The 13,551-nt window shown below is 35.7% G+C and overlaps 1 long non-coding RNA gene across 1 annotated transcript in view; it reads left to right on the top strand.

Annotated features, from left to right (window-relative positions):
• Positions 1-13,551, top strand: part of LOC107984478 (uncharacterized) — a 55,308-nt gene that overhangs the window by 27,778 nt on the left and 13,979 nt on the right. Inside the window, exon 2 of the long non-coding RNA XR_001749242.3 lies at positions 7,901-8,125. This is a non-coding gene — a long non-coding RNA (uncharacterized LOC107984478). The remainder of the gene's footprint in view (positions 1-7,900; positions 8,126-13,551) is intronic.

Raw genomic sequence — 13,551 nt, 5'->3', positions numbered from 1 at the left:
CTACACTCTACGAAGACTAAACCAGGAAGAAGTTGAATCCCTGAATAGACCAATAACAAGCTCTGAAATTGAGGCAATAATTAATAGCCTACCAACAAAAAAAAGCCCAGGATCAGATGGACTCACATCTGAATTCTACCAGAAATACAAAGAGGAGCTGGTACTATTCCTTCTGAAACTATTCCAAACAATTGAAAAGGAGGGAGTCCTCCCTAATTCATTTTATGAAGCCAGCATCATTCTGATACCAAAACCAGGAAGAGACAAAACAAAAAAGAGAAAACTTCAGACCCATACCCCTGATGAATATCAATGCAAAAATCTTCAATAAAATACTGGCAAACTGAATCCAGCAGCACATCAAAAAGCTTATCCACCGCATTCAAGTCAACTTCATCCCTAGGATGCAAGGCTGGTTCAACATACACAAATCAATAAATAATCCATCACATAAACAGAACCAAAGTCAAAAACCACATGATTATCTCAATAGATTAAGAAAAGCCTTTGATAAAAGTCAACATCCCTTAGTGTTAAAAACTCTCAATAAACTATATATTGATGGAACATATCTCAAAATAATGAGAGCTATATATGACAAATCCACAGCCAATTAATATTGAATGGGCAAAAGCTAGAAGCATTCCCTTCGAAAACTGGTACAAGAAAAGTATGCCCTCTCTCACCACTCCTATTCAACATAGTATTGGAAGTTCTGGCCAGGGCAATCAGGCAAAATAAATAAATAAAGGTATTCAAATAGGAAGAGAGGAAGTCAAGTTGTCTCTGTTTGCAGATGACATGACTTTATATTTAGAAAACCCTATCATCTCAGCCCAAAAATTTCTTGAACTGATAAGCAACTTCAGCAGTCTCAGGATACAAAATCAATGTGCAAAAAGCACAACCATTCTTTTATGCCAACAATAGGCAAGTAGAGAGCCAAATCATGAATGAACTCCCATTCACAATTGCTACAAACAAAATAAAATACATAGGAATACATCTAACAAGGGATGTGAAGGACCTCTTTAAGGAGAACTACAAACCACTGCTCAAGGAAATAAAAGAGGACACAAACAAATAGAAAAACATTCCATGCTCATGGATAGGAAGAATCAATATCATGAAAATGGCCATACTACCCAAAGTAATTTATAGATTCAATGCTATTCCCATCAAACTACTATTGACATTCTTCACCGAATTAGAAAAAACTATTTTAAATTTCATATGGAATCAAAGAAGACCCTGTATACGCAAGATAATCCTAAGCAAAAAGAACAAAGCTGCAGGCATCATGCTACCTGACTTCAAACTATACTGCAAGGCTACAGTAACCAAAACAGCATGGTACTGGTATGAAAATAGACATATAGACCAATGGAGAAGAACAGAGACCTCAGAAATAGCACAACACATCTACAACCATCTGATTTTTGACAAACCTGATAAAAACAAGCAATGGGGAAAGGATCTCCTATTCAGTAAATGGTGCTGGGAAAACTGGCTAGCCATATGGAGAAAACTGAAACTGGACCCCTTCCTTACACCTTATACACAAATTAACTCAAGATGGATTAAAGACTTAAATGTAAATCCCAAAACCATAAAAACCCTTGAAGAAAATCTAGGCATTACCATTTAGGACATAGGTATTGGCAAAGACATCATGGCAGAGATGCCAAAAGCAATTGCCACTAAAGCCAATGGTATTTAATTAAACTAAAGAGTTTCAGCACAGGAAAAGAAACTATCATCAGAGTAAATAGACAGCCTACAGATTGGGAAAATTTTTTGCAATCTACCCATCTGACAAAGGTCTAAAATCCAGAATTTACCAGGAACTTAAAGATACTTACAAAAAAAGAAAAGCAACCCCATCAAAATTGGGCAAAGTGTATGAACAGACACTTCTCAAAAGAAGACATTTATGTGACCAACAAACATGTAAAAAATAGCTCAACATCACTGATCATCAGAGAACTGCAAATCAAAACCACAGTGAGATACCATCTCAAGCCAGTCAGAATGGCTATCATTAAAAAGTCAGGAAGCCATAGATGCTGGTGAGGCTGTGGAGAAACAGGAATGCTTTTAAACTGTTGGTGGGAATGTAAATTAGTTCAACCGTGTGAAAGACAGTATGGTGATTCCTCAAGGATCTAGAGACAGAAATATCATTTGACCCAGCAATCCCATTACTGGGTATATAAATCATTCTACTATAAAGACACATGCACATGTAACCTATTTACAGGATTGCCAGCATTATTTACAATAGCAAAAACATGGAACTAATCCAAATGCCCATTAACGGTAGACCGGATAAAGAAAATGTGTTCTACATACACCATGGAATACTATGCAGCCATAAAAAGGAATGAGATTATGTCCTTTGCAGGGACATGGATGAAGCTTGAAGCCATCATCCTCAGCAAACTAACACAGGAACAGAAAACCAAACACCACATGTTCTCACTCATAAGTTGTCGATGAACATTGAGAACACATGGACACAGAGAGGGGAACAATACACACCAGGGCCTGTTGCTGGGTTGGGGGTGAGGGAAGGGAACTTAGAGGATGGGTCAATAGGTGCAGCAAACCACCATGGTACATGTATACCTTTGTAACAAACCTGCACGTTCTGCATATGTATCCTTATTTATTTATTTATTTTAGAACAAATAAAAAGAAAAAAATTACATTTTTTTTCTAATTGTTGGCATGCTACAATTTTCGGTTGGGAGCTCAAAAGGTACATGTTTCTTTTGAAAAACAAATCATGCTTTAATATCCAGTCGAATGTTTAACTGCATTTTAGTTTTATTAGGTTGGAAATCATCTTGGAATAAACGAATATGAAAACGGTTTTATACAAACACGTAACTATTCCTGGAAAATCATAATGCAACCTTGAAAAGAAAGTTTCACAAAGATTTTTCCTTCTCTTTTATCAATGAGAGTTTCATGTTCGAATTAATTATTTTTAATTATATATTTAGAAGGTGACTTTAACACATAGACAATAATTTTTTGAGACTGAGCCTCACAGCACTAATTTTAACTTAATTAGTTTATGCATTTGTTCAACTCACAGTTTCAAGTTCCCTGCCCTATTTCAGAAATTACACGTCCTTATCTGTAAAAACAGAAAGATTAAGTCACACATATTAAACAGTTGCTCATGGTTGAAAGTGATAACAAGATGTGTGTAAGCATAGAATTTTAACTTTTATTGTCTGTAGGCTTCTTTTTATTAGCTATCCCTACAGAGAGAGGAAGATTTCAGGGAGTCAGGGCATTTTTTGTTTGTTTGTCTTGGTTCTATTCTCTCACTCTCCCACTTCTAACCCATATCTAACATATCGACTTTTATCCTCTTTCTGGATTAGAATTCTTTATCATTTCCAAGTTGAAATGTAGAGGGCTTTCTCTATTCATTGATACTTTAGGTAGTTATCTTTTTGATTACCAAGTCAATTGAGAATCTTCCATTGTAGATGGCTCATAACCTTCCCCATGCCAGGTTTTGTTTTCTATCACGAATGTAGAAAAGTTGTCTCCTACTCTCAGTCTATTTGATTTGCTTCTGCATGCCACCTAGATGATCCCTAAATGCTGAACAACTTCAAGAATTTTCTGTAACAGAAGCAAGGGTGGAAGGAAAAAATTTCAAGCTGTTATCCGCACCCTTACCCCACTCTGCAATATCTCTCGCATCCCAGGAAATGTGAGACAAAAAGAATTGGAAATGACAAAATGCCAAGGATCCTTTATTGCTTAGACATTCATGACAACCTTTCTACAGCTCCCGCTATCCGTCAGGAGGGACAACCCCTTTGTTTCCTAGGACAAGCAGAGAATGGACAGGTAAAAGAAATGATAAATTCTTAGATTCTCTTCACTACAATATTTTTCTCTCTCTTCACTTCATTTTGGACTGCTCTTTAGCTCCAACAAATCCTAGCAATATGAGCCGAACAACTCAGTTTCATAAAGAGGTCCTGAATGTGTGAACTTCTTTGCCATATCCTTCTCACCAAGTAGTTCATGTGTATGCCAAGTCAAGAGTAGATTTCTTCTTCAGGTTGGGCCTAATTTCTGAGGCAGAAATTTTAAGATAAAATATACCTAGAGATAAAATAAAACACTTTTCTATTACTGTTTTCTTCTTAAAACACGATTTCATAATTTTCATATATTATCATTTTGGTTTCTGTTATCTTCTTATGCAAGGGACTCTTTCAAAACTCTGCTAATTGGTTCCTCCACATTTTACGGAGCAGTAGAGAGAGGGTTTTACCACCAAATATATCACCTCCTCAAAGGGAAGCAACGTTCAAAATATTTTAAAACCTCTCCCGAAAAGCATTTCATTATAACTCTATTACCTAATTAAAACAGGTTTCATAGTAGGTACTTCCGTGTCTTTCAATATAAGCAATAAAAGCAAGCCGATCGAATTTTTGAACCAAGTTTTCTCACTGGAACTTTGTAATCACTGCGTGCTCCATTTTACTGTAATTATATGAAACTTATATTTCTGAGAAAAGTATATACTTATTTTGGCAAAGCTTTCTTGAGAAAAATAGCTAACACTTACACTTTGTTGTATTCATATTTTTCCCACCTCCTAAGAAAGATAAAACTGTGAGAATGAGCGTTAAAGAGTCGCAGGTCTATGGCACATAATTTACCAAGGTCTGTAGAAACTCAGGCATTGAGGGAAGTTCTATTAACCAAAGAGAGCAAGAGCAAGAGACAGTAAGAAATACATTGCCTCAGTATACTTTTCAGAAAGAAAAGGAAATATAGCTGGATACTTTTTACACATAATGAGAATTTTTTAAAGGAGGAAATTTTCACATTGATACTTATTGAATTCATGTTGTCCTTTCTTATTTGTAGTTTTTATTTGCTTCCTAGTCATAATCCTGTTTTTTTTTTCTTTTACGACTTTTGCTGGAGTTATCAACATTTAAAAAATTATGTTCTACCCAAGTAAGTTGGAATTTACGTATTTTATTTTTAACCTCCTTGTATTTTTCTTTAAATAATTGAAAGGTATTTGAATTCTCTTTCTTCATTCAGATAAGGAAAACAACAGTAAAATGTATGATGGTGAGATATTTAACAGGTTTCATTTTTTTTCTTGATCCTTTCTTAGCCTCTACATTAACAACATCAACCACAGCAGCACCAATGACATCGTTAGTATATTATTTGTGTTCTTTTATTTTGTTAGCATAATCTTTTTAATAAAATAAGAACAATTCTGTACGCTTCACTGCAAGTTTCACCTGAATTTTGTTCATCACTAGATAAATAGAATAACATTGTTTTAAGTCAGTATTAATGAGTATGTGGATCTAAGCGTATGCCATTTATTGCTACTTTGGTATACACCACTATAGCCTTTCTGAAAGTCAGTTTTTCATTAGGTATCAAAATCTTTCAAAATCATTAAAATTGCCCTTAACCTTAAATATGATAATTATCTTTTTAGGGTTTCATCCTAAGAAGATAAATAAGAGCAAGCACAACATTTTTTGCTAAAGGAATAATAGTTGCACATCTTAAAAATGCCGCAATAACAGAAGCCTTCTTCATGCACATGAATTTTGTGTTTTTTAGTGTATGATATACTATTCCTAAGGTTAAATAACATGTTGACGGATTGCACTGGTAAATATTTAATGGCATGGATAAGGAATTGTCATTATAACACATTAAAAGAATAAAATGCACACTTACAAAACATGAAGTCTAATTTCATTTTTGTTCAAAAACAGATATACATGTAAAATGCTTATACTTATATGTAGACATTTATCTTTACATATTTTGGGACATTATGCATTAAAATGTTGACTTTCTGGAGGGCTGGTATCATGATTTGTAATTATTTCCTTCATAATATTTTTCTATACTTTCATGTATTTTGCAATGAATACTTAATTATTCTTGTAACAGCTAACGCAGTAACATTTTAAAAAATTTAAATCAGAATCTATAAAAGAAAATATATAAATATAAATGAACAAAATTTTACATATTTTCATAGCAAAAGATATCATCAGCAAGTGGTAAACAGAGTAAAATATTTGCAATATAATGCAATCACCTAAGAATTAATGGGCCAAAATATACAAAAACCTATTTCAAATTGATAAGAAGGAATAATACCCCAAACACAAAAATGCTCAAAAGAGATAAAGAGGCAATATATAAAGGAGCAAAGTTCAAATAACCAAACATACAAAAACGTAAAAATAAAATGCAACAATGATGTATCAATTTTTACCTGTCTTGTTGGCACAGACAAACACATGTTAAAAATCCAGTGCTGGCAAGGACATAAATTACCATGGTCCACTTGAAAGATAAGCTAACAATATCTTCCAAGATAAAAACTAAACATTTCCTTTATATTACTGTAATACATATACAAAAGGAGTGAAGGTGCCAGTACAGAAGAACATACGTATTATGTTTTTTTCATCATTCAAAGTACCACAAATATGGAAACTGACATAACTATAATGCAGCTATTAAAAAGACCTGGATAGATTTCCACGGTGCAATGTCAATGAAGAAAAATTCTTACCAAAATATTAGATGCCCTGTAATGCTATCTTTCTACAAATAAATGACTTAAAACAGAAAATTAATACTTTTTTATATGTATGTTTGTATTTGTGTAACATGGAGAAACATATGTAAAGATTTACACTAAGCTATAGGTTACCTGATGTTGAGATTCAGGTTGGAGAGGAGCTGGGAAACATGGAGGAAAAAAAAAAGAAAAAATAAATATTGTATAATGTTAAGTGAAAGTTGTATTAAATTTTAATAAACACTTGAACAAGAACTAGAAAGTAAGTTGCATTACAAAATGGATTTGATTAAATGGCAGATCTTGTATTTCCATTGTATTGTTCTTGTAAAAAAATTCCTATTACAACCCATAATCATTGGCAATTGATTTGTAAGATGTGGAGAGAAGACTATCAGCTACATTTCTTTCTTTCCCTTGAAGAGATAGCCAGCTAACTCTCGAAGCCAGACCTGTCAATGAGCACCTATAGCCAACTTAAATCTCACTTTTATGGAGAGAATCCAATGCATAAGGACACAGGTTTATCATTATGTCCTGCTTTGAGCTTTTCCCACCCTTCATTTACGAGTAAATCCCAGACAAAGTGGCCCTGGCTCTTTCTGGAATCAATTAATCACACACTTATCTCAGGGTCTTTACAAATACTCTTCCCTTTGCTAAAATATCCTCCCAGAAATAGTCATATGGCTTGACTCTTCCCATCATCAGCTCTCTGACCAAATATTAATACCTTATCACAAGCACTTTCCCTGATCTCTTGACCTAAAAGAAAGAGCTTCCACTACTCACTCTAACAACAAAACACCCTAACTCACTTTACTCGTTTTCATAGCACTTATATTACCTGACATATGATATGTTTATATATTCATTTACTTGATGCTTAAGTTCTTTCTGATAAAATGTGCATTCCATGAGAGACTTTGTTTTGATTACTATAGTGTTTTCAGTTCCTAGAACAGTATCTGATAGCTATTGTGGAATGGATTAATTAATGCATTTTGAATGGATTAATTAATGCATTTACAGAGACACAAAAGAAAGTGCTAGATTTTTAAAAAGTGCTTTCCTAAAAAGGCTAATCCCATGTAAAGAGACAACTCTGTGATTATTCAGTGTCTACAGAGGAGAGATAGTGTAAGAGTACTGTTTTGTTTTTGTTTTAGGGCAACAAAACTGAAGAGAAATTGTCTTATAATAGAAAGGGATGGGAATGGTAAGTTACGTTGAATATTGGATACTTGTGCCAACATCTACCACCCTTATCCCCCACAGCACTCAGAGGAGCATCAAGGGCTCCATGATATGGTTCATCGAATGAGAATGCACACGAGAAAATAAAGTTACAGCCTTTGAAAAGATTCTCCTGCACCAGTCTTGCACAGAAGAGACAAAGCCACTGACTACTGAAAGATGGATATGGGTTTTAACTATGTGGACAGTGTGCAACCATCATGGGTTAAAGACTAAAAGCCCTTCCACCTTTACTCTGAGCCTCAGGTAAGCTGCTCCAATCGCCTAACCCAAAGAAAAAGAGGGGACCTCCGTATTATTTGAAATTAAATTTTCACCCACCCTGTGGATAAAGTACTGTGGAAACCTATTTAAGTAGTGTTAACTTAAATATAGTTTGAAATGTGATTTTAGCTAGTGGTCATCACTTTTCCAAACTTTTAAGTATTATATGCCTCTGCTATTGCTATAAGGCAACTATACAAATTCAGACAGTTTATCTCTGTATATTTCTATCTGGTATGCACACACATACCCTTTAAATGTATAAATTAATGGATTGATAAAGATATGTAACTAAACACAAAAAAAGTCAAGCAAGTATATAAGGTCATGCAAGTTCTGTTTTATTTATATAACCAGAGAAAATAGTCTATGCTGCAGAATGTCTGTAGTCTTTCACAAATTCATATAACAGGTAATAGTTTGAAATAGGAAATTATTTGTTTTGAAGTATCAACTGTGTCTTAAATTTATTGAAGTCAGAGGCAGATTTCACACTTAAAAATATGGTCAACAGTTTCCTACAATATTACAGGAATAAAGACTTTGCCTGTAGACTAATGATCATGATGTGCTGGTAATTTCTCGTTCTATAAAATAAATTTATTTTATACCAGGTTTCTAGGAAGTAAGATTTAGACCTACTAAATGTGGTATCGTTTCTAGAATTGCTAAGAATGCTTGTGCAGCGTACCTACGTGCACTATGTGCTGATTACAATCCTTGAATTTGAAGCTAACCTCAATTTTAGGCCATCTGTGAACCTTTTGGAAAATTAGTGCGCAGGTTGTATGTGGAATTTCCAAAGTTACTACTGATTTGGCAAATAAAAGTGAACTATGATGAGATTAACTTCGAAGGTATAGTTTAGGTAGTTTAAAAAAAAAAACCTGAGCGGGTAAAGCATAGGCAACAGAAGAGTCAGGGAAATTAAGCAACTAAATAATGTAAACTTAAAAAGGCTTCTGAGAAGATTAATTTCTCTGTGAGTCTCAAACATAACACAGAGAGGAAAACCAAAGAAAAAGATAGAAACCTTGAATGTTCAAAAAATGATCTCTGTCCTGGAGAGGGACAAACATGTAGTGAACAATATTGCCAAAACTCTGGGGGTATAATCATGCTCATGCCCCAAGCCTGGATGTACTGTCAAGCAGTTATATAGGCTGTTTCACCTCTGCACAAGCCATGTCTTGCTAGAAATGAATGGTTTCAAGTCAGAAGAAAATGCCACAGCAGGAGAAAAGCATTGGAATCTTAGCCAGGATTCACTACTAATATGGTACAGCAATAACAGACACTGGAAACCAAAAATTGACAAACACTTAGGAAATGAGTGCTAAAGAGGCAGTCTTTAATATAATGTTGGCCGGGCATGGTGGCTCACGCTTGTAATCCCAACACTTTGGGAGCTCGAGGCGGGCAGATTAACTGAGGTGAGGAGTTTGAGATCAGCCTGGCCAACATGGCAAAATCCCATCTCTACTAAAAATACAAAAATTAGCTGGGCGTGGTGGCACACGCCTGTAATCCCAGCTGCTTGGGAGACTGAGGCTGGAGAATTGCTTGAGCCTGGGAGGCAGATGTTGCAGTGAGCTGAGATTGTACCACTGTACCCCAGCCTTGGTGACAGAGTGAGACTCTGTCTCAAAAAAAAAAAAAAAAGTATTTGTGTACAATGGACTGAGTGTTTCTTTTCTCGCCAAATTCTTATGTTGAAATCCTAACCCTCAACATGATGGTATTAGGAGGTGGGGCCTTTGCGGGGTGATTAGGTCATGAGGGCTTTGTCCTAATAAAAGGACATGCGGAATTAGTGTCTTAATAAAAGATGCTCCAGAAAGCTCCTTTGTACTTTTGCCATGTGAGAATGTAATGAGAAGGTGCCATCTGGGATCAAGGGGACTGGCCCTTACCCAGACACTGAATCCCCCAGAACCTTGATCTTGGACTTCCCAGCCTCCAGAACTGTGAGAAATAAATATCCTTTTTTATAAGCCATTCAGTTTATGGTAGTTTGTTATAGCAGCTGGGACAGACTAAGACTAAGACATATTGTTTATCAAGCAAACAACTTCAGGAATTGTGATTGGCTATCTGAGTCTAGGGTTTGAGGCGTAGTAAAAACCAGAGAACACTGCCAGAAGGCTGGGGAAAAAGTTCTCAATTTAAAACTAAATTAGATCCCACAGCCCAGAGAACCCCCATCTCAGGGGTTTTAGATTTAGGAGGCATGGTTCAGGTTCATTTTCAACACGTGAGAGCAGGAACAAAAGTGAGTAGCATGCTAGTCACCAAGCCCACCCTGTCAGAACTTAACGTCGCTCAGAAGATAGGGTAAAGAAAAAGGAGGAGGAGAAAGAGAGTCCCTTTCTCCATGCAGGAGGAAAGCCAGGCACAGATGGTGATTTCTGTGTCACCAGACTAGACCCTGCCAATTTGAGGATTTTGAAACTTTTTATAGCAGTTGCCACTCTGGAGGCTTTTTGGAAGTCAGGTTTGAGCAGCCTTTCCTGAGACAGGGCTAAAAAGGTGCAGGGATGCAGATATACTGCCAAGTGTGCACACCCAGTAAACTTGTAACTGACTGCTGACTTGATGCAGAATCTAGGAGTCATCCTGAAAGTTGAAGAGAACTCTTCTCAGCCTCAGAGGAGGAACATTTCCAAAATAGCTGCAAATACTTTAAAGCAGTCCTTAAGCCCTTGTTTTTTTATTTGTCCTTTGGGGAAAGATGGACTTATTGTATATTTTACTCATGAGGAGAACATAGAATTAGTAATGGGAAATGTGGCCTGCTTGCACTCAGGAAGACAGAAAGAGGTCAAAAAGACAAGCTTCACTTGTCCTCCAAGAGTCAAGGTCAGTCTGTACCCAAAGCTTTGTCTCCTCAGGCAGCCAGGGTCAGGAAGGGACAAATAAAGCTACTTGAAAACCAGGATACATCCCAGGCCTCAGTGAGGAGAGTGGCTTATATTACAATATTCCCCTGTCAACTAGTGAGTGCTGAGTAGAGGGGCTACATTTCCATTGCTACAGACTAGAAATCTGGAAGATCTTAGTGATTTTATGGATGAGAAAGATCGAGGTTGAGAAGCAGCCCACACTTCCTGTTAAAATGCAATCATTATGTAGGTACCTTCACGCCAAATATGGCTAATTACCAACCTCCCATTCTGACTTCTAGATTGGATGGTGCTATTTTGAAAGGAACAAAGTTGCCGTAAATCAAAGTAAAATACCTAGCTCTTCAAGATCACAGGTAAATACAGTCCTCACAGACAGATAGATTCTCCTTTGCATGTTGAGGGGAGAAATAATTTATGTCTGAGAAACTCACCATGGAACAAAAAAGTTAATCTGCGTTCCACTTCTTGGGAGAGGTAGGTGCAATAAAGGATTGAAAACACTTTGTTTGGTTTCTTTTCTTGTGTGGACTAAAAAAGGACTTGAAAAAGGATGTGGTAGAATGCTTTCTTGAGGTATTATGTTTTTTGTTATTTAAAATTATTTCAAAATATATAAAAAATAAGGGTTTATATAAGTTATATCTTTGATTTAAAGGACGATAGTAAAAATGACACCGTATGCCCAAAGTACAGCTTAAAAAGAGAACATAAAATGCATGAAAAGAACTATTGTAGCTCCCAGTGTGCCTTTCTGTAAACTCTTACCCTCCTTTCCTCCAAAGATTCCCATATCCTGAATTGTGAAGTTATTTCATTGCTTTTTATTACAATTTTTACTACAGGTTATGTTGTGTGTGTATATGTTTGTACATGTGTGTATAATGATATATATGTAAACAAACAGATATACATATATAGAGAGAGAAAAGAGAACTATATGGTATGTGTTTACAGTGCGTTTTACAATTTTTTGTTGAATTTTGTGTCTTTTAAGATCTCATTATGGTTTAAAATTCAATTCGAGGCAGGTTTAGCTGTGGATTCATTTTTGTGATTCATATTTTATTGTATGACTAAACCACAGTGTTTGCCTGTTTCAATTTTTATAGACAGGAGTTACTAGCTTGTGTATATAAGAGTTTTTGTTTGCTTATTTGCTATTATAAATGATGCTGTTGTGTACATGGAGAGGAGAATTCCCAAGGCAGTGTATTTTAACTTCAACTGTACACTCAACAATCTGTTGCTTGAGGACCTGTTCTGGGCTCAGTTGAATTAGTAACTTTGGTAGTGGTACTCATGCACCGACATCTAATAAACATTTCCCAGGCAATTTTAATCTGCAGGCAATGTTGAAAAGCACTACCCAAAACAATCAATATCTAGGAATAGAGAATCTTGGTAATAAAGAATGTGCATTTTCACATTAATAGGTAACATTAAATTGATACCTATATCAGATGCAGACATTTCCAATTGGACTAAAATATATGAGATTCCTGTTTCTCCACATCCTTGCCATAACTGGCATACTCAGTCATCAGTGTCAGCCTGGTGAATGTCAGGTGAAAACCCATTGTAGTTAAAATTTTCAGTTTCCTGTTTACTAATGAATTTGGGTACATATTCATATATACTGGCCACTTTTAGTGATACACTTTAATTCCTTATGCCTTTTTTTTTTTATTTTTGTGTCCTTTTTTATTTATTGTAAGGAATTCTGGACACTAGATCTGATTCACAAAAACTTCCCCAATGGAGGTTGCTTATTCTTCCCCATCTGCTGGCCAGATGCGGAAGATCCAATAGAGGACTCCAAGGTTATAGACCAGGGTTTCCAACCTCAGCACTGACATTTGGTGCCTGATAATTCTTATTGTGGGAGCTGCCCTATGCCTCAACAGGAAACAGTGTTCTGTGGATGTTTTGAGCATCTCTGTCTTCAATATATTAGATGTCAATAGAGACCAAGTGTGACAACCTGAACTTTCTCCAGGTCTTGTCAAATTTCCCATAGGGGTCAAAATTGCCCCCAGTTGAGCAGTACTGACCGACAGAGTGGTGGAGCCACAAGAAGGAAGGCTGCACCCTGGAATCACTGCTTGGAGAAGAGTAGTTCACCAATTAGGAATCAGTGAGATTTGGAGACTTGTTACCTTATCTGATGTAATTATTTTACTCAGATCTTCATTACAGTTCCTGATTTTTCTGTTTAGTTCATTTATTAATTAAAAAAGCATGTTCAAATTATCTGCTACGACAGTAGATGTGTCTGTTTGATTCTTCTCATACTTTTTGTTTTGCATAGCTTTAAGCTAGATAAAAATAAGTTTAGAATTGTTATATGATCCAGTTGAATTTAGCTCCTAGACATTATATAGAAACTGTGCATGTATGGTTGTATGTTTGTGTCCTATAATGCTTTAACCTTAATTTATATTCTGTCTTATGTTATAGTCACATGAGATTTTTGGTTAGCATTTTCCTGCCACATCTTTTCAA

This window comes from Homo sapiens, chromosome 12 (genome assembly GCF_000001405.40).
Source record: "Homo sapiens chromosome 12, GRCh38.p14 Primary Assembly".
Taxonomy (NCBI): domain Eukaryota; kingdom Metazoa; phylum Chordata; class Mammalia; order Primates; family Hominidae; genus Homo; species Homo sapiens.
Note: the sequence above shows the minus strand (reverse complement) of the source record. Positions and strands in the feature narration are given on the sequence as shown.